Below are 20873 nucleotides of genomic sequence, written 5' to 3'. Positions count from 1 at the left end.
CCTGAGTTGTCTTCGTTTCTCCTAAAAGCATGCATTCCCGGCTGGGCGCGGTGACTCACGCCTGTAATCCCAGCACTTTAGAAGGCTGAGGCGGGCGGATCACCTGAGATCGGGAGTTCGAGACCAGCCTGACCAACATGGAGAAACCCCATCCCTACTAAAAATACAGAATTACCCAGGCATGGTGGCACATGCCTGTAGTCCCAGCTACTCGGGAGGCTGAGGCAGGAGAATTGCTTGAACCCAGGAGGCGGAAGTTGCAGAGAGCCGAGATTGCGCCATTGCACTCCAGCCTAGGCAACAAGAGTGAAATTCCATCTCAAAAAAACAAAAAACAAAAAAAACCCACGCATTCCCTCCCAGGCCACCCTAGTGAGGGCATGAAACACAGTGTGTGTGTGTGTGTGTGTGTGTGTGTGTGTGTGTGTGTGTGTGCATGTGCGTGTGTGTGCGTGTTTGTGTGTTGCAAGGGTTACAGTGGACAGGATGTGGGAGGGCAGCTGCAACTCCAAGCTGTAAGTCTTTCTGATAGAATGCCTAAGATTCCTTGGACCACAGCAAGAGAGTGTTTTCATTTGCACCCATTTTTATTAGCATTTAAACCTGTATTTTTTGTAGCATGTAAACTTTAAGCTGCTTAACTATTCCTTAAAGCATTTACACCAGTGGTTCCCAACCTTTTTGCTACCCGAGACCAGTTTTCTTGAAGACAACTCTTCCACGGACCCGGGAGAAGGGGAAGGGATGATATGGAGATGATTCAAGCCCATTACATTTATTGTGTGCTTTATTTCTATTATTATTTTACTGTAATATATAATGAAATAATTACACAACTCACCATAATGTAGAATCAGTGGGAGCCCTGAACTTGTTTTCCTGCAACTACGTGGTTCCATCTGGCAGTGATGAGACAGTCACAGATCATCAGGCATTAGGTTCTCATAAGGAGCACGCAATCTAGATCCCTGGCATGCGCAGTTCACAGTAGGGTTCATGCTTCTGTGAGAATCTAACGGCACCGCTCATCTGACAGGAGGCAGAGCTCATGCGGTAATGCGAGGGATGGGAAGTGGCTGTTTCTACAGATGAAGCTTTGCTCACTGGCTGGCTGCTCACCTCCTGCTGTGTTGCCTGGTTCCTAACAGTTGGGTATCCCTCATTTACCCAGCAAGATAAATACATTATTATGTCAATTGAAATTATTCACCTTGAACCACCCAAAATTACCTTGCATACCTACACCCACCCAAGGGTCCCGCAGCACACTTTGGGGGCTGTAGATAGTAAGCCTGGAGCTCCGTGGAGCATTCCATCCCTTCACCATCTGTGGGCTAACAGGCTGCGTTAGTTTCCCAGGGCTGTTTTACAGTACCACAGACTGGGCACCTTCAACAACAGAATGTTACTGTCTCACAGTACTGGAGGTCATGAGTGTCAGTCCAAGATCAAGGTGTCACCAGGGTGGGTCCCTTCTGAGGCTGTGCAGGAAGGCTCTGTTCCAGGCCTGTCTCCTGATGTGTGGGTGGACGTCTTCTCCCTGTGACTCTTCATTAAGGGTGATTCTGGTGAGGGCTCAGAAGAGGAGACTTGGACAAAATGTTGGTAGATAAATGTGTCAGTGGAAACCAGAGGGTAGACAGGAATCCATCCATGCCCAGGGCTTTCTGGGGACAGACCTGTCCAAGCAGCTGCCATTCCCAACCGAGTTCTGTTTCTGGAAAGCCAGGCAACAGCTGGGGCTGGGCCCTCTGGGATTTGTTTAGTGACCCGATTATGTGGGAAGCCTGGACTGGGTGGTTGGGTGGGGGGTGGTACCGCCCAACCTCATTGCATCACTCACTTCCCAGGCCCTGTCCTGGTTCTCAGCCACCCTGTCCCAGTGGGTGCTTCAGCCCACTCACTGACCAAGTGAGGGACTGACTCGAGGTTACAGAGTGCTGTGTTTATGTGACCTGAGAGTATGTGTGCACAGACTGTGCCTGCAGTGTCCTCGTATAGTTGAGCATGTCCATGTCCTGCCCGTGGGTAGGCAGCCTGTCCACACATGCCTAGGAGTGTGACTCCGTGTCCTGGTAGGGTCCCCTGATTACTTCTATGGGTGCGTGTTTGTGCGTCTTGTTAGGGGTCCTTGTTAGGGGTATGGAAGATTCTGCCCTGGGTGCCCTTGATCACGTGTGTGTGTGTGTGTGTGCGTGTGTGTGTGTGCGCACGTGCGTGCTTGCGCGCGAGCATGCATTAGGGGGTGTACGGTGTTAACAGCATCCTCAACCAACTCTGTATGTGTGCATGTTTGTGTGTGTGTGTGTGTCCTACAGGTGTGAGCCAGTGGATGCTTCCACTACGTGTCTGCACACGTGTGCGTGCACTTGCATTGTCCTTGCACACCTGCGTGTGTCCCGTGAGAGCGAACGAAGCCCAGCATGTGCTGGCACCTGCAGGAACGTGTGAGTATGCGTTCTGCGGGTCCCTGTCCTGCTGGCTCCCCGCTTGTCCCCAGGGAGTGCGCACACGGGGTCCCAGGCCGGCGTGCCCCCCCGGTGTGAGTGCGAGTGAGTGTGGCCCCACGCAGCTCTCTCCGCTCTGCACTGCCTGGGCAGCCCGCACACTCACCCTGCGTGTTTGCTGCCGGGTGACGCGGGCTGGGCCGGCCCCCTGCCTGCCCGCCCCTGGCACTCACTGGCGCTGGCCTTCACGGAGGCCCCGCCGCGCCACGCCACGCCACGCCGGGCCTGCTGAGCCGCCCCCGGGCCGGGGTCACTCCGGGCCAGGCCGTGCCCGGGCGGGGAGGCGCTGCCTCTACCACCCCCCCACCGGCGGTGCGGGGAAAAGGCGACCATTTGTATCCAGGAGCATGTGGCCACCGACGTGTGCCCCAGCCCCACCCGCCCCATCCAGTAGATCTCTGGCTACTTCCCCCACTTCCCGCGGGACCTGCCCCATGACGCCCCCGCGCGCCCAGCCACTGCCAGCGCCGGCCGCTGCCGCCGCCCCTCTGACGGCGCCCGCGACGACGACAAGGATGGGGCCCATCTCTTCGGAGCCTAAGGATCCAGCCCAGGTCCAGCCCTGCGCAGCCGCCCACCAAGCTGCCAGAAGACGAGCCGGACGCCCAAGGCTACGAGAGGACGATTGCAGTAAGTTTCCAACTCGCCGACTTCGCCCCCTCCACTGGCTCCGGCTTGGCGGTCCCCGGCTTCGGGGTGCTCTCGGTCCCTCCCCCTCGCGTCGTCGCGTTCTTCCTTGGCATAACCCCCCGCCGCGGGGCCACAGACCTCTAAGAGCTCAGTGCGCTCTCCGCGCCCTACCCACCGGCCCCGACCCCTCGCCCTACCGGACCTGAGAGGTGGGAAGTTTGGGGATACCCGCTGCGGGTGTCCCATTTCCGGGGCTGGGCTCCGGGTGGGAGCTTAGGCGCGGGCAGCTGCTTTTGTTCCCGGGAAGGGCGGAGCTGTGTCCAGGGGAGACACGCGTTGCAGCCGGCCGTTCCGGGAGGGCCCCGCAGCGGAGGGTCGGGGCTGGGTTGGGCTGGGGAGGGGGCCCAGGGCTGGGGCCGGTTCGGCCTCCCGGGTGGCACGCGGGCCAAGGAACTAAGAGGACCGCCGGGCCGCTTGTCCTTTGGAAAAACCTTGATGGAAAAACCTTTTCGGGGAGCAAAAAGCTGCAACGTGTGACTAAGCATGGAGACTCCAGGATACTGCCAGCTGAAGGCCTGATCACCCTTCCCACCTGCAAACCCGACCACCACCCACCTTGCTCTTCACCCTGTGGCTGATGGTGTCACCACTCACACAGTCATCGGAACCAGAAATCCAGGGCCATCAATGCCCACTCCTTCATGTGTTCACCCCACACTTACTGAGTCCTGACTGTGAGTCACGCTTACCCTGAGATCCAGGCATCCAGTCCTGCTGTTTTGAGCTATAACCTCTCTTCTGCGTGCACCACCTTCCTTCCCCTGCCACCCCACCGACCCACCCTCCACCCCGCAGGACTTCTCTGGCCACACTCCCTGCTCCAGCCCCCTGACACATCTCTCTGGCCCCACCCTGACCCCTCTGATCCATTTCTCCCTCTGCAGCCAGAGTGAATGTTCTAAAATATCTTGATGTTCATTCCCCTCTTCAGCTCCAAATCCCTCCATGGCTCCCCATTGCCTACGTGATCTAATCCAGACGCTTTAACTTGGCATTCAAGGCTCCTCAATCAGACTCCAGCCTGCATTGTCAGTTTCACCTCCTGCAAACCCCCACAGGTTCCCACATTCACACCTCCTGAACTTCACTGGTGCTCAGACACCAACTTCTTCCTAGGTGAAGTGGGCCCCCAGCCCGCCCCAGCAGGTACCCGGGTGCACACTCACTGAGCGTCCTCAACCTCTAGCAAGCGGCTGTAGGTGGCGATCTCCTGCTCCAGCCGTGTCTTCACGTCCAGAAGGACCTGGTGCTCATGGTCCTGGTGCTCCGCGTCGCAGCAGAGCTCGCACAGCTGCTGCTCCATGCTTCTGATGAGCCCCTGCAGCTGGGCCAGTTGGGTCCCGTAACACACCTCCAAGCAGGGGTCTATAAGGCTGGGCTCACCCTGGGGTGATAGGTACAGGGTGGGGAGGGGACAGAGGCCCTACCTTGCTGAGCTGGGATGGCTCAGGTTCTGCACAGAGATGTAGAGCTCCATATCTCTATCCTGCCGCTCTGCAGGGCCTCTGTGTTGGTGGCCACCTCGCAGTTCAGCCCCTCTCTCTGGAAGGCAGAGTGGGCCACAGGGGTTTCAGGAGATTTTCAGAAGTGGGGCACAGGAAAGGGGCTGAGAACCATATCCTAGCCCCTCCCTGGCCTCTATGGGGCCCCAAAGGCACCTGCACACAAAGACCCTCTGCACCCACGTTGGACCTTGGAGGAATTCAGCCTGCTCTGCGGTTGTTTGCATTTCTTACCCCTACCGAACTGCGGCACCTCAAAGACAGGCACTGGGTGTTATTCTTTTGCACCTATTGCTGTCCCTAGGACACTGGAGACACTCAGCCTGTGCTTGCCAAGGGTATGCGTATGTACTCAAATACACACATCCTGTAAACAGCTGTGGTGGAAACCCAAGACCAGACTTGTAGAGACCTGGATCTATTTTGCAGGCCACAGTGAAGGGCTGTGTGAGCTTGAGTCCTCTCTGAGCCTCACATTTTACATCGAAATCATGAGGGGCTGGTCCAACTGGTTTCCAAAGTCCTTCCAACTGGGACAGCCTGTGGATCTGCCAGCGTTCCAGCTGCACCAGCATGCAGCACATGTGCCCACATGTGTGCACACCTGCTTACATATGGCCACCCACCATGCTGAAGAAACAGCCCTTGGCATCCTTGTAGCTCTTCTCCACCAATTTCTTGTCCTGGTCATGCATCTCATTCAGGATCCAGCTCAGGTTCACTCCAGGCACAGTGTCCATCTTCACACTGACATCCTCATCCACCTGACCTCAAAGGGCCTTCATTTCCTGGGCAGAGAGGACAGCAGGAGCTCACCCAAGGCCATCCTGGGGAAAGACCCTGGGGCCTGCCTTCTTTCCCTCGGAGAGACAGGTGCAGATGACAGACAGACAGACAGACAGACACAGATAGGCCAACAGCTCCTCACCCTGAAGGTGGAGGTGGATATTGTCATTACTCAAACATACAGGGCTATGAATATCAGCAACCTCCCACAACACACACTGTGACTCGGGACTGGACTTCACCCATCCCCAACAAGTGCTAAGCCCTGAGAGATAACAACCCCCCAGCACAGTGGAGGATGACCACAGGCGACCTCACTCACTGCCCTGACCTTGCCCCCACCACTGCCTTGCCCCCACCACCAACCCCACAGCACAGGCATGCAGAGAGCAACCCTACGTTGGTGTCACCGTGCCAGGCCCCATTAGCAAATGTTAATCTGCTGGAGGAAAGCAATGTATAACCAGCCTCAAAGCCAGGGGGAAACACCTTCCGGGTGTCCTGCTTCTTGGGGAGTAGGCTTCCCCAGCTTAGAGCAGCACAGAACTCGGCTGAGAAGGAAGCCACAGGAGAGGGCACGTAAGGCCTCCTGACTGCCCCGGCAGGACCTTGGATCTCTATCCTTGGGTTGAGCCTTGGAGTTCCTGGGACCTAGAACCTTCTGGAAAGGAGAGGCAGGAGAGGGGGCAGAGAGGTGGGGTGGATACAAGTCCGACAGACCTGAAGGAGGGGTCCCTGTGCAGCCGTAGATAAATCCCTTAACCTCTCTGAGCTTCAGTTTCTTCACGGGTCAAAAGGAAGAAAGAGTATCTTTCTCCCAGCTGTTTATCAGCTGAGATGATGGCTGTGAGTCACTTGTAGTGCTGGGCAGAAGTTCCTTGTTTTAATGACTATCACTATTATAATTAATTATAATAATTAGCATTGTGTGTTCTTACACTGAGTTACTCATTAGTTAGTTAACTGCAGTGAGCTGAGCCTCAAGGGACAAATGAAGTCTATTTGGGAAGAGGGGCTCCTCCAGGCCTCACCCAGGGTCCTCTGAGGGTCAGGGCTAGGCATCCATAAAAGATGGGAACTGGACTGGAAGCATGGCCCAGCCCAGGGGGTTTCTGGGCCCCAGCCTCGCTTGCTTCCAGGTGAATTTCTGCTGCATTCCCTGAGCTGACCTCACTTTAGTGGGGGCTGAAGAAGGACAAAAGAGTTAATTTTCAGATAATCAGGTAATTCATGAAATAAAAGCCCACCTATTCAAAGCTTTTATAGGTAGCAGAAGCTAATGTAGTAATGTCCAATTTGTAAACCTGAATTCCACAAAATAAAACCTACCTGTTAGGGAGCAGTCTACTTTGGAACTTTGAGAAAAGAGCCTAAATGATCAAAGTTTGCCTTCATAAGATTTTAAACAGCTAAAGAACCAAACTCCAAGAGGACCAAAACTGAGAAAAAGTCAGAGTCTGATAATCTCTTTGAGGAAGAGGGGTGATTGGAGTGTGGCTTAGGAGAGGTTTCTTCATATAAATACTTGATAGTGATAGAGGCAGGACATGAAGTTGAGAAATTCTAAGCAGATGTGGCAGGCCCCCAGTGAAACCCCATCTTTGAGCCGAAAAGCCTGAAACCCACAGCCCAAAGTGAGAACTTCTATTCCTGTTTGCTTACTCCCTCCCGATTGGTTCTTTCTGAATAATGTCTTCTTACCAATCAAATGTTGCCTTTTCCAAAAATACCTATGGCTGCCCCACCCTCATCCTGTGCCTATAAAGACCCCAGACTCAGTCAGTAGATGAGAGAGATGGCCAGACTTTCGGGAAGAAATGGCCAGACTTTGGGGAGAAGATGACCTGCCCTTTCTACCCCCTCTCTAGCTCCCCTCTCCGCTGAGAGCCACTGTGATCACTCTGTAAAATTCTCCACCTTCACCATCCTTCAAGTGCTCCACACAACCTCATTCTTTTTGGATGCCAGACAAGAGCTTGGGACCCACCAAGTTTGGCTACCCAAAAGGCTGTCACACTCACCCTTTGCCCTCACCAGTGGCAGGTAGCCACCCCACGCAATGGGGCTAGGGGCCAGCTGAGCTGTTAACACATACCCATCCTCAAACAGTGGCGCTAAGAGAGCACTGTAACACTCCCTCTGGGGATTTGGGATCACAGGCACCCCCACTTGGGCAGCACCGCAGACCCCAAATGGAGCTTGCTCCTGCAGCTGCCCAGAGCAGCCAGCTAGATCCTGCAGTCGTTTGCTCATGCCTGGTCTGGTCACAGGCTCCGCAAAGAGCTTGCTCATGCTGGTGCCTGTAGTGGCCAGCCAGATCCTGCACTTGCTCACTCACCTGCACACTCCTGCAAGAGGTTGAGCACAGTGGGCTGAGTAAACAGGGCACCCCTGTCTTGAGTCCCACGAAGGAATCAAGGAAAAAAATCCTGTATCAATAGGAAATAAGACTGTCACTACCATCCCTGAGGGAGAGAGCACATGACTATGGTAGAATAAGTGAATGCTAGCCAGTAATCTGCCAATATAGTCCACTTGTCTTGATTTTTTTTTTTTTTTTGAGACGGAGTCCCACTCTGTTGCCCAGGCTAGAGTGCAGTGGCATGATCTCGGCCCACTTCAATCTCCGCCTCCCAGGTTCAAGTGATTCTCCTGCCTCAGCCTCCTGAGGAGCTGGGAGGAGCTGGGATTACAGGTGCATGCCAGTACACCCAGCTAACACCATGTTAGCCAGCCTGGTCTTAAACTCCTGGTGATCTGCCTGCCTTGGCCTCCCAAAGTCCTGGGATTACAGGTGTGAGCCACCCCACCCGGCCTCACTTGTCTTGATTTTTAATGCCCTTAGAGTGAGGCCACCATCATCTCTTGCTTGTACTATTATCGCAGCCTCCTAACATGCCTCCCTGATTCCAACGCTTCTCTACAGGGCAGCTGGAATGTTCTTCCTTCAGAACAAATCTGATAGTGCCATCCCCCTCTCTAAATTTCCACAGTGATTTCCCACTAACTTCAGCCTGAAGTCCAAAGTCCTTATTGTGACATATATATTCTGATGCGACCCCATTTATTCACTTGTGCTGTAAATATTTATTGAGCTTTTTTTTTTTTTTTTTGAGACGGAGTCTCGCTCTGTCGCCCAGGCTGGAGTGCAGTGGTGCAATCTCAGCTCACTGCAACCTTTGCCTCCCGGGTTCAAGTGATTCTCCTGCCTCAGCCTCCTGAGTAGCTGGGATTACAGGTGTGTGCCTCCACACCCGGCTAATTTTTGTATTTTTTGTAGAGAGGGGGTTTCACCATGTTGGTCAGGCTGGTCTCAAACTCCTGACCTCATGATCCACCCGCCTCGGCCTCCCAAAGTGCTGGGATTAGAGGCTTGAGCCCCCTCGCCCAGGCTTATCGAGCTTTTAATATGTGTTAAGCAGCGGGTGCTACAAAGCAGGGTGAGCATAAATGGACAAGTCTCTGGCCTGATGGAACTTATAATTGTAGAAGAGAAACTAATTAGAATCATTAATAAAGTTGCAACCATAAGTGCCAAAAAGGAGAGGCATATGATACTACAGTGGGGAGTCTCACCTAGCTGGGGAAGGCTTTCTGCAAAGTACTTACCTTTCCTTCCTATTATTTACCCATGAACTCTCTGCAGTTCCCCAAGAATGTAGGCACCGCCCTCTTGCCCTGTGGCCTTTCCACGAGCTGTTCCCTCTGTGAAGATTGCTCCCTCCGTACCTAGCTCCATCACTTTTCAGTACTTGCTATGTGTTGGGTACCGTGATAAGCACTTACCATCAATTTTCTCTTGTATTTACCTCAGTGAGTGCAACTGTTAACCCTGTTTTATACATAAGAAACTACGCTCTAGAAAGGCAAATTTGCCCAAAGACTCACAACTAGTAAGTGAAGAAACGAATTCAAATTCCGGTCGGCCCGACTCGAAAGCGGTCTTGGCGGTACAGTCTTGGGTCTCCCAGTTCCTTCCTGTTCAGGCCTCACGTATCTGCCCGCCTTTCCTGACAGACCCCTGGTGAGGGTCTAGTGCCTCCACGGGCCACGGCCATCGTAAGGCAGCAACTGTAACTTGTCGCCCGCCCCACTAGGCTGAGCTCTTCCCGGACAGGCACTGGCCTTTTCCCTTTCGTCGGCTCAGTGACTCCAGGTAGACGCCCCTCAGACACCACACGAGACGGCGGCTCACATGGGCCAGAAGTGTTTCCCCTCTCCCCCAGCGGCTTGTCTAGGAAAACATGAGGACTCGGTTCGACTCGATGGTGCGGGCCTAAGCCCCGGGAAGCCGGGAGTGGTGAGGCGGGCCGCCGGGAGCGGGGCCGGGAGTGGTGAGGGGGGCCGCCCGGAGCGGGGCCGGGAGTGGCGTCGAGCAGAGAGCCCGCAGGCGGGAAGTCCTCTCAATGAGCGTCTCGAGCGCTGCCCGCGGCCCCTCCTGACTGCTAGTTGGAGCGGGGACAGCATGGGCGCGGCCGCCAAGGTAGCGTCGAGTGAGGGGAAGACTGATGGGCGCCTGGAGACGAGCTCCCACAGCGGCCACGCATTTGGAGCTGGGCGTCGGGGCCCGCCCGTCCCGCCGCGCCGCTAGCTGTCCCCTCTGCCTGGCCTCCGTGCCTTGCGCCCCTTTGTGCCGTCCAGCCCTACAGCTTTGAGGCCCTTTCGGCGCACGCACCCCGCCCCGATCCCCCGGCGCTATCCCAGCCTTGACGGCCGGGGAGGCTTTCCCTAGCCCGGCGCCTCGAGGACCGCCTCAGTGGCCAAAGGCGGCGCGGGGTGCGCCCGGGCTGTGTCCCCGGGAGGCTGGACCGCCAGTCCGCGCATGAGGCCATCTGTGAGGCACGAGTGCAGGAGAGTGAAGGAGACCGGGGCGTGCTGAGTAGGGACCTCCCTCAGTGACTGGAAGGTTATTCATGGGGCCTTCTGACACTCTAAAAACGAAATTTCTCCGGGGTTTGATGAGTATCAGGGTGGTGGCTTCTTGAGTTTTGAGCAGGCATCACAAATCAATCCCTCTGGAATACAGAACTGCCTCTGTTCCGTTTTGGGTTTTGTGTGTGTGTGTGTGTGTGTTTTTGGAGACGGAGTCTTGCTCTGTTGCCCAAGCCGGAGTGCAGTGGCGCCATCTCGGCTCACTGTAACCTCCGCCTCCCGGGTTAAAGCTGTTGTCCCGCCTCAGCCTCCCGAGTAGCTGGGATTACAGGCGCCCCCCACCACGCCAGGCTAATTTTGTATTTTTAGTAGAGAGAGGGTTTCACCATGTTGGCCAGGCTGGTCTTGAACTCCTGACCTCAGGTGATCCACTGGCCTCGGCCTCGCAAAGTGCTGGAATTACAGGCACGACCCACCACATCCGGCCCTCTGTTCCTTGTTTCGAAATAACTCAATTAAAAGTCAGAGGCTCACTGGCCACATCTCCTTCCACCCACCCACCGCCCCACCCCCCAAAAGATGCCTCTAGCAAATAAAATGAGACGTCCTGATGCCTTCCTGGCTCGTTCCAGAATTTTTAGCTTTGACTTTTGACGTGGGGTCCTTCTACCTAAAGTCCCCGCCGTCACATCAGCCCCCAGTTTTCCTCTGTCTTAGCTCGGGCTGCCGTAACAAAATACCATAGACTGGATGCCAGACAACAGAAATTTATTTTCTCAGTTTTGGAGGCTGCAAGGCTGTGACCAGGGCCCAACATGGTCAGGTTCTGGTGAGAGCTCCCTGGCTGCCTTCTCACAGGGTCCTCACATGGCAGAGAGAGAGGGACCCAAAGCCCTCTGGTGTCTTTTTTGTTTGTTTGTTATTTTTTGGGACGGAGTCTCACACTGCTGCCAGGCTGGAGTGCAGTGGCCCGATCTCGGCTCACTGCAACCTCCACCTCCCAGGTTCAAGTAATTCTCCAGCCCCAGCCTCCCAATTAGCTGGGATTACAGGCACCCACCACCACACCCGGCTAATTTTTGTATTTTTAGTAGAGAGGGGCTTTCACCATGCTGGCCAGGCTGGTCTCGAACTCCTGAGCCCAGCTGATCCACCCGCCTCGGTTTCCCAAAGTGCTGGGATTACAGGCGTGAGCCACTGCGCCTGGCCAGAACTCAGTCCTTACAGAACATCAGAGAATCCATACAAGGTGAGAGAGAGGCCTTATAAATGCATTGGGTGTGGGAAAGATTTGAAGGGGAGCTCACAACTTATTCAGCATCAAAGAATTCACAGTGGAAAGAAACTTTGTGAATGCAATGAATGTTCAAAGACTTGTAATCAGAGCTCACACTTTATTCGACATCATAGAATTCATAGTGGAGAAAAGCCCTATGAATGTGACAAGCATGGGAAAGCCTTCAGATGGAGCTCAGACCTTGTGAGGCATCTGGAAATTCATATTGGAGATAAAGTTTTGGAATGTAGCGAGCGTGGAAGAATTTTCAATCAGAGCTCAGGTCTAATGCAGCACCAAAGAAACCATACAGAATCATAACCCTAGGAAGACAGTAATGATAAAGATGTCAGTATGTACATATAGGAAGAGAGAAGGAGAGTTTGTTTTTGTCCTAACTATTTGGAAAATTGTAAGCTTCCTAAGAGCAATTTTCATCTGATTCAGTGTATAGTACTTAGTCTCAGGTCATGTGCAGATATGTCCTTCCCAAATGCTTACCACAAGATAAATCAGAAATCTTGACTGGAATAAGCTTCTAGTTCCTTTGCTTTATCATGAGAGGTTCCACACCACAGGAAAATCTTGTAAATGGTGGAAGCTGCATAAAGCACCATCATCATCACAAAATGGTGTCCTTGTGTGTCCTGTTTAGCAGCACCGAGAATCTAATAGCTTTCCCCTTGTCTGTTTTTCCTTACTATGAATTGTGCCAGGGGAACAGTAAAATGGGTATGATATCCTGAACTCTAGGGTGGATGTCTTTCTGGGACAGAATCTAATCCAAAAGTCTGCAAATGGACTTGAGGTTTTCACATTAGTATAAATGTCAATATGTAGTTTAGGGAATTTGCCTTATTCCTCCATTCCTAGCAAAATTAGATACAGAAGCAGCTAATTAAATCAGGAAAAGGAAACTGACAGTAAGTCATAGGACCCATTGTCTTCTCTCATGTAAAAGTAGAAGTTGTGATTCAATCTGTTCTGTAGGATTTAAAAGTATAATGGCACATTGAAGTTTGACATACTGAAATTCAGGCTCTGTCAATTTCATCTCTGTAACCTTTATTGTTTCTGAGTCTTGAGTTTTCTCATCTGTAAAATCAAGATAATGACATTAATACAATCCCTTGTGGAGCAACTGTGAAGACTAAATAAGACAATTTCATTAAGTTCCTGGCATAGTTCTAGACACGTAGTAGACATTCAACAAATGATAACTATTTTTATCCATAGCTCCTACGTGCAGTAATTATCAATGGCACTTTGAAGGAAAAAAGATAATATATCCCCCAGCCATGGGGGTGTCAATGCGCATTTTCAAGGATACTATATCTTGGAGAAACAAATTTAATAATCTGAGAATCTGAGAACTGTTACTATGGTACTACACAGTTGAACAACAATTTTTCTTGGAGAGACTAGGATTAAGCTATTTTATAAAAGTATTGAGAGACTGGATCAATCAATATCCTGCAAAATTGATAGTGAGATAAATTTATTTTTAATTAATTTTTTTTTTGAGACGGAGTCTCACTCTGTCGCCCAGGCTAGAGTGCAGTGGCACAATCTCAGCTTATTGCAACCTCTGCCTCCCGGGTTCAAACGATTCTCCTGCCTCCTGAGTAGTGGGGACTACAGGCGCCCGCCACCACGCCCAGCTAACCTTTTTGTATTTTTAATAGAGACAGGGTTTCACCATGTTGGCCACCATGTCTCAAAAAAAAAATAAAAAATAATCGGCCGGGCGCCTGTAAACCCAGCACTTTGGGAGGCCGAGACGGGCGGATCACGAGGTCAGGAGATCGAGACCATCCTGGCTAATATGGTGAAACGCCGTGTCTCCTACCAAAAAAAAAAAATTAGCCGGGCGTGGTGGCGGGCGCCTCTAGTCCCAGCTACTCAGGAGGCTGAGGCAGGAGAATGGCGTGAACCCGGGAGGCGGAGCTTGCAGTGAGCCAAGATCGCGCCACTGCACTCCAGCCTGGGCGACAGAGCAAGACTCCGTCTCAAATAAATAAATAAAATAAAAAATAACAACAACAAAAAAACACCAACCCCTATTTCCCCCATCGCAATAAAATTAACCTTAGAATTCTTTTTTCTCCTCCCCTCCCCCTACGCCCCAGGAATTGTACAGGCTAGTGGTTGGGGAATATTTTTTCGTGGAAGGGACCGTCTTCCTTAGCTGTGGCCCTCTCATCAGGTCTGGGAAGAGGTAATTGGAAAATAGAACTCATGGAGAAGTGTTACCACAGGCCATGGACAAGGCCAGAATTTCCCTGACATCTGTCCGCCAGCACCGCCCTTCAGGTACAATTCCACAAGAGACCCCCCAAACTTGATGAAGTCACCCGCTTACAAGGGCTCACTCTCCACCTGCGCAAGGACTGCAATTCCCAGGGGCCTCCAGGGCACCCGGCCGCTCCAGTCCAGTCGTGCAGGCGGCGCGCTCTTTCTCGCTCCGCTCAAGTCCAGGAACCGGTTCCCGGGCTCCCAGCCTCTCGGCAGCGCCCACGCGCCTGGGCCAAAGTCCGCGAACGGAAGCCGGCGGCGAGGAGGATTCTGGGAGTTGGAGGCCGAGGCTGCGACCTGCGCAGGCGCAAACCTGCCCCTGGGGTGAGGGCTGTAAGTGGCGCGATTCGCGGCAGCGCCCCGATGGAACCTCCTGGTCCTGTGAGGTGAGTGTTGGCGGCGGCTTCCCCGAGGTCCACCTGGCGGCTTGGCTTTTGCCCGTCCCGCAGGCAGCGGCGGCTCTGCAGTGAGCAGGCCTGGCAGGCAGCTCCGCGGTTGTGTGTGGAGAGGGGTTTGGGTTGCCCGTGGTGCCCGCGCTGCGCTACCTGCGTTGCGTCGCGTCACGTGCCGTGGAGGGGGGTCTTGATGTTCCTCTTCTCTTTTCTCGAGACCCTTGGGTAGGGAGTGAAGGGTGGGAAGGGGAGTTGTACCTGGCCTGGACGACAGCCCCCTCCCCGGGCGGGCACCTGCCCGAGGCCGGGGTAGAGAAGTTTTGCTGGGGCCAGCGGCGCCGGGCATCACCCTGGGAGACGCGAGCTCCGCGTTTTTCCTCGCGCCTCCTTTGTCTTAGGCCAGCGGTCCCCCTTTGTGCTCCTTTCGTGGCCTCTGATGCGTTCCACCTCCTTCCCTGTGTGAAAGGAAAATAAAATCTCAGGACCCCAAACTTACTATGACAAAGGGAAAAGTTAAGCTTGGAAACTGAGTCACGGAAAAAAACTGCTTTTCCTTTTGTTCCTAAACCGATAGCTGCAAGATAGAAAGCAACATATGCCCCCAGGTGGCCTCCCTCACCCTGGCAATGGAAACGAACAGCCGAGCTTCACCGGACAAGACTAGAAATCGTTCCTCCACCCACCCAGAGACAAAGCATATTTGACTTCTTCCTCTACTGTATGTCTACCTTATCTTGTGTAAAATGCAGATTTACTGAGCACGAGACAAATTCATAATTGACTTCCTCTTTTCACGTGCAACATGTGGATTCAGTGAGCTCTAATCAAATCCTCACAAGAATGTGGCCACTTACCTCACCACATACCCTCCCTCTTCTCTCCTCCTTCCCCTCCTGCCAGCTTTCTCCCCATTAAATTGAAGCCCTCAAAACCCTCTTTGGTAAAAGTGCGAGCCACGGATCCTACTGTGGCTTGTGTGTCTTTTTCCTGGGTGCATCCTCAACCTTAGCAAAATAACCCCTAAATTGGTTGAGACCTATCTCAGATGCTTTTTTGGTTTACACCTGTTAGATTTCCTTGACGCAGGCCACTGTACCCGAGACTTGTTCATAGCTGCCCCTTAATAGGGCTTTGGCATTTGAATGAGATCCAGCTCCTTAAAGGGGACTTATATTTTTCTTTTGCTGTAGCTACTACTTCAGAAATTTTTGAAAGCAGGGAGGAGCCATCTCAGAGGAGGCTGCCTCCCCAACACATTCCACCTTGCACTGAAAGCTGCTCGGCTCTGGGCTCTGCATCTGGAAACTTGGGTTTTGCTTCAAACTTATTTCTTCCAATAGTCATTTCTTCCCATAGGCCCCCAGAACTTTTTTTTTCTTGATACATTTTTCCTGTCAATGGCATTTAATTAGTTGTATTATAGAAAACCACTTTACATCCCCGTTTCTACCACGGTGCAAGTTTCTCAAAAACATTGACTTAGTGCAGCAGAATTCTGGGGAGGGGTGGAAGAAAAAGCGGGACTACAGGGCATAGGACAGGGTTTGGCTCTTTGGAGTGTTGAGTATATGTATATGTTTAATGAATGAAAAAAGAAGAGGAGGACGGGCGCGGTGGCTCATGCCTGTAATCCTACCACTTTGGGAGGCCGAGGTGGGTGGGTCACCTGAGGTCAGGAGTTCAAGACCAGCCTGGCCAATATGGCAAAACCCCGTCCCTACTAAAAATACAAAAAAATTAGCTGGATGTGGTGGCAGGCGCCTGTAATCCCAGCTACTTGGGAGGCTGAGGTAGGAGAATCGCTAGAACCCCGGGGGTGGAGGTTGCAGTGAGCTGAGATCATGTCACTGCACTCCAGCCTGGGTAACAGAGAAAGACTCTGTCTTAAAAAAAAAAAAGAGGAATGATTTCTTCTTATGTTACAGGGGGCCCTTGCAAGATTCCAGCTGGTATGAGCCTTCTGCAGAGCTAGTGCAGACTAGGATGGCTGTATCACTAACAGCAGCTGAAACTCTGGCCCTTCAGGGTACACAGGGACAAGAGAAGATGATGATGATGGGACCAAAGGAAGAGGAACAGTCTTGTGAGTATGAGACCAGGCTACCTGGGAACCACTCTACCAGTCAAGAGATCTTCCGCCAACGCTTCAGGCATCTCCGCTACCAGGAGACTCCTGGTCCCCGGGAGGCCTTGAGCCAACTACGAGTACTCTGCTGTGAGTGGCTGAGGCCAGAGAAACACACGAAGGAGCAGATCCTGGAGTTCCTGGTGCTGGAACAATTCTTGACCATCCTGCCTGAGGAGCTCCAATCCTGGGTGCGGGGACATCACCCTAAGAGTGGAGAGGAGGCTGTGACTGTGCTGGAGGATTTAGAGAAAGGACTTGAACCAGAGCCGCAGGTGGGAAGGGGGATTTGGTCTGTTATGGGAGCCAGATTGATGACCTTCAGGCTGGACCGAGGGGCAGCTGTAGGGGGAGGTGCCAAGTTCAAACCTCTCTTGGGCCAGGTAGAGCAGTTAGTATGTGTTTCTGTGTCTGTCTTTTCTGCCCTCGAGCCCTGAATGAGAAAGAGACTCTAGCTCCTCTTCTTCCCTTGTGCTGACTCTGAGGAGGCTCTCTAAAGTCTCCTTGGAAGCTTTGGTCCAAGGAGGGTCACATCTGCAAGTGTCCAGGCAGGGGACAGAAACCACACTAGTAATTTGAAGAAAATTTAAACTGAGTGGTGCCTGATCACCTCCAGGTCCCAGGCCCTGCACATGGACCTGCACAGGAAGAGCCATGGGAGAAGAAGGAATCTCTGGGAGCAGCCCAGGAAGCACTGAGCATCCAGCTCCAGCCTAAGGAGACCCAGCCTTTCCCAAAGAGTGGTGAGGAGCAGGATTCTGTGGGGAGGGAGAGGAGAAAGAGGGACTATAAAGGGCACAGTACCTAGTACCTGTAAAGGGTAAATAGTAGTAGGTGCTTAAATGTTTGGTATCATCACAGCCTTACTATTCTTATCTCTTAGGTGAGAGACTTTGCCTGTTTCATCACTCATAAAATTAGGAGTAAGAATAAACTACCTCATAAGATAGCTCTGAGGATTAAGCTCAACTTGGGTCTTATCTGGATATAAAGCCTGGCCAGCATCTCTTAACTTTAGAGAGCCCTAAATCAGGACCAGGAAATAGCTCATTCATTTATGCCTTATCATCTCCACTGCACTTAACTCCTAGTCTATAATAACTCTGCCCTGAGCTAGAGGCCAGCCTTGAGATCCTTTTTTTTTTTTTAAACTCGCTGAGGCCTCGCAAAACACTTTTTAAGCCATAAAGCACTCCTATGTGAGATACAGCCTGTCATCACCTTTACCACCTCTTCCTCATGTAAACAGCCCTATCTGAAACTCTCTTATGTGTGCCCTCACCTTCTACCCTTCAGATTCACTACAGAAACTTCCTTCTTGGCCTGCATACATACCTGCAAACAACCTCTCCTCTCTCCCAGCGGCGAACACTAGACTTAGAGCCTCAGGGGCGTGAACTCTCCTTGTTGACCTCTGTAGCCTTGTGACCGTATTGTGAATATGCGGCTAACCAAGAAGAGTCTACTTGATATTTGCTTTTACACCATAACTGCCCCCCCATCACTATCACCAAACCAAGGCATTTGAAAAATCAAATTCTTCTTAGTTACAAAATGGGAAAAAATAGAAATGGAGATTAATTAGACTCTGTCCCAAAAGTATGTTTCTACTTCTTAGCTCTTCTTTCTTCCTTGACTTTTTTCCAGACTTTTTCTTGTCTCCTTTACTTCTGTTTAGTAAGCCTCTATTCATTTATCAATTTTATTACTTTACTCTCAAAAAGAAGCTAGCTATTGTGTGATTTTTTTTTTATATATAGCAAGCATATTTCAGATTTTTTTAACCACAGCATTTAACCTGAAAAAATGAATTTTTAAAAAATCAAATGATCTTGGCTGGGCACGGTGGCTCACGCCTATAATCCCAGCACTTTGGGAGGCTAAGGCAGGTGGATCACTTGGGTCAGGAGTTCAAGACCAGCCTGGCCAACATGGTGAAACCCTGTCTCTACTAAAAATTCAAAAATTAGCCAGGTGTGATACGCGCCTGTAATCCCAGCTACTGGGGAGGCTGAGGCACGAGAATCACTTGAACCAGGGAAGCAGAGGTTGCAGTGAGCCAAGATCATGCCACTACACTCCAGCCTGGGCAACAGAGCAAGACTCTGTCAAAAAAAAAAAAAAAGTCAAATGACCTTGAGTTATCTTAAAGCAATTGGTTTCTGTTCTCCTTAGGCTATAGGGAGCATTACAACAGATAAAACATAAAATGTGCTATGGACATTTAAAAACAAAAAGGCAACACACTCTTTTTTTTTTTTTTTTTTTTTTTTTCCTTTTTGAGATGGAGTCTCGCTCTGTCGCCCAGGCTGGAGTGCAGTGGCGTGATCTCGGCTCACTGCAAGCTCCACTTCCCGGGTTCACGCCATTCTCCTGCCTCAGCCTCCTGAGTAGCTGGGACTACAGGCGCCCGCCATCATGCTCGGCTAATTTTCTGTATTTTTAGTAGAGACGGGGTTTCACCGTGTTGGCCAGGATGGTCTCGATCTCCTGACCTCGTGATCCACCCGCCCTGGCCTCCCAAAGTGCTGGGGTTACAGGTGTGAGCCACCACGCCCGGCAACACACTCTTTTTCCCTTTTTAAGGAAGAGAAAGGCAGAGAGCACCAAGCAGATAGGAGGCAGGGAGCTGGAAGTCCTCCCTTTGATAAAGGAGGCAGTTAGTTGAGAGTCCTCTAAAGAGGCTATAGATTGATGCAGCTGGGAAACGGATGGGAAGAGGTGAAGGTTGCAGAGCCAGGAAGGGCACAGTTTTTTTTGCCTTTAGAAACCTCCCTTTTCCTTAACCCTAATGATTCTTTCATGTTTTTCCCTTTCTTCACAACATCATTCCCTGATTCCTTGAAAATATGAAAAATCCTAAAAAGACCATGCATTGTAATTGCTTTCATTTTTTCAATAAAACTTCTTTAGTGTTTCATTATGGAGAAATTAGGGGAAAAAAAGCAGATAAATGGGAGAAATTAAAAAGAAGAAACCCTCTCCTCTGTATAGTCCCATCACCAAGAGATAACTGTTGGCAATATCCAGTAAATATTCTTCGAATGTTTGTCATATATATAGTTGTTTTTAAGCATTTGTTTTCATTCCAGAAATATACATTTTAATCTAAGTGTCATTTCTTCATACATCCAGAACAGGTATATTTACATTTTCTGTCAGTTGTTACAGAAGATGGCCCAGAGCCCAAGGACAAAGGATCATTGCCACAACCACCCATTACTGAAGTGGAATCACAGGTGTTCTCAGAAAAACTTGCTACTGACACCTCTACATTTGAAGCTACCTCTGAGGGTACCTTAGAACTGCAGCAGAGAAATCCCAAAGCGGAGAGACTGAGGTGGTCCCCTGCCCAGGAGGAAAGTTTCAGGCAGATGGTTGTCATCCATAAGGAAATTCCCACAGGGAAGAAAGACCATGAATGTAGTGAATGTGGTAAAACCTTCATTTATAACTCACATCTTGTTGTCCACCAGAGAGTTCATTCTGGAGAGAAACCCTATAAGTGTAGTGACTGTGGGAAAACTTTCAAACAGAGCTCAAACCTCGGTCAGCATCAGAGAATTCATACAGGAGAGAAACCCTTCGAATGTAATGAATGTGGGAAGGCCTTCAGATGGGGTGCTCATCTTGTTCAGCATCAGAGGATTCACTCAGGAGAGAAGCCCTATGAGTGTAATGAGTGTGGGAAGGCCTTTAGTCAAAGCTCATATCTAAGTCAGCATCGGAGAATTCACAGTGGAGAGAAACCTTTTATATGTAAAGAATGTGGGAAAGCTTATGGATGGTGCTCAGAGCTCATTAGACATCGGAGAGTTCATGCCAGAAAAGAGCCTTCCCATTGAATTGAAGGGGAGAACGTCTCCAGACAGAATTCTACATCGGTCTAATCTACTTTAGGACTGGATCCCATAAAAGTTATAAGTTCCTTAAGATTTTTCCTGTGTCTTTCTTGATTTTGGAAAAACTGTTTACTTAGTTCTGCCTGTAGATCATCCCTTCATGTCCTCTGATGAAGATACTGATATTAATTAGGATGCTTTGGATGCAAGTAGTAGCCAAGTTGTTTTGCTTCTTTCCAGCATGATCTGCCTAGTTTGCCCACCAATAATGTCTACCTCATTAGAATTTTGTTGTTGTTGTTGTTTGAGACGGAGTCTTGCTCTGTCGCCAGGCTAGAGTGCAGTGGCACGATCTCAGTTCACTGCAACCTCCACCTCCCGGGTTCAAGCAGTCCTCCTGCCTCAGCCTCCCAAGTAGCTGGGACTACGGGCATGTGCCACCATGCCCAGCTGATTTTTTATATTTTTAGTAGAGACGGGGTTTCACCATGTTGGTCAGGCTGTTCTCGATCTCTTGACCTCGTGATCTGCCCACCTCTGCCTCCCAAAGTGCTGGGATTACAGGCCTGAGCCACCATGCCTGGCT

The 20873-nt window shown here is 51.1% G+C and overlaps 2 protein-coding genes and 1 long non-coding RNA gene across 28 annotated transcripts in view, besides 1 other annotated feature; 1 reads left to right on the top strand and 2 right to left on the bottom strand.

Annotated features, from left to right (window-relative positions):
- Positions 1-10082, bottom strand: part of USP6 (ubiquitin specific peptidase 6) — a 58960-nt gene extending 48878 nt beyond the window's left edge. For 3 of the 10 annotated variants that reach the window (XM_011524050.2, XM_047437018.1, XM_011524055.3), the window contains exons 1-3: positions 5326-5768; positions 4364-4739; positions 842-1548 (exon numbers count right to left, since the gene is read on the bottom strand). The gene's annotated coding sequence lies outside the window, so the exon portion shown is untranslated. Of the gene's footprint in view, positions 1-175; positions 294-841; positions 1549-4363; positions 4740-4855; positions 4948-5325; positions 5788-7823; positions 7915-9373 lie in introns of those variants that run through there. The other 7 variants (NM_001304284.2, XM_011524053.3, XM_011524051.3 and 4 more) reach the window with 7 other exon arrangements.
- ZNF232 (zinc finger protein 232) lies at positions 2998-20380 on the top strand. Of its 16 annotated transcripts, none has more exons than NM_001320953.2 (6): positions 2998-3137; positions 13763-14314; positions 14895-15038; positions 16246-16720; positions 17062-17188; positions 19581-20378. In NM_001320953.2, the coding sequence occupies exons 4-6, from the start codon at positions 16304-16306 to the stop codon at positions 20288-20290; spliced, it is 1254 nt and encodes a 417-aa protein (NP_001307882.1). In that variant the 5' UTR covers positions 2998-3137; positions 13763-14314; positions 14895-15038; positions 16246-16303; the 3' UTR covers positions 20291-20378. The 16 variants fall into 16 exon arrangements, with proteins under 16 accessions (NP_001307882.1, XP_047292624.1, XP_047292630.1 ...); NM_001320954.2 differs by lacking the exon at positions 2998-3137 and adding an exon at positions 9666-9753 and having other exon boundaries at positions 13840-14314; XM_047436668.1 differs by lacking the exon at positions 14895-15038 and having other exon boundaries at positions 13840-14314; positions 19581-20380.
- ZNF232-AS1 (ZNF232 antisense RNA 1) lies at positions 11732-14179 on the bottom strand. Of its 2 annotated transcripts, none has more exons than NR_135657.1 (3): positions 13996-14179; positions 12662-12728; positions 11732-11956 (listed from the first exon to the last, which is right to left on the bottom strand). It is a non-coding gene; the product is annotated as a ZNF232 antisense RNA 1 (long non-coding RNA). The 2 variants fall into 2 exon arrangements; NR_135658.1 differs by having other exon boundaries at positions 14013-14179.
- Positions 13876-13925: an enhancer, noted in NCBI's record as "active region_11566". NCBI's record gives its function as "activates an Ori minimal core promoter by ATAC-STARR-seq in GM12878 lymphoblastoid cells {active_cell/tissue: GM12878}" and the evidence as "EXISTENCE:reporter gene assay evidence [ECO:0000049][PMID:35858748]".
- Positions 20381-20873: the final 493 nt, after the last annotated feature.

The sequence above is a fragment of the Homo sapiens genome, chromosome 17, assembly GCF_000001405.40.
Source record: "Homo sapiens chromosome 17, GRCh38.p14 Primary Assembly".
NCBI classification, from domain to species: Eukaryota; Metazoa; Chordata; class Mammalia; order Primates; family Hominidae; genus Homo; species Homo sapiens.
This window is presented reverse-complemented; position numbering and strand designations above follow the sequence as displayed.

Coding starts and splice junctions, on each gene's coding strand:
- ZNF232 (XM_047436668.1), top strand. CDS start 14,292: ATGGAACCTCCTGGTCCTGTGAG. Junction 16,721..17,061: donor GACTTGAACCAGAGCCGCAG/GTGGGAAGGGGG, acceptor GATCACCTCCAG/GTCCCAGGCCCTGCACATGG. Junction 17,189..19,580: donor CCAGCCTTTCCCAAAGAGTG/GTGAGGAGCAGG, acceptor TCATACATCCAG/AACAGGTATATTTACATTTT.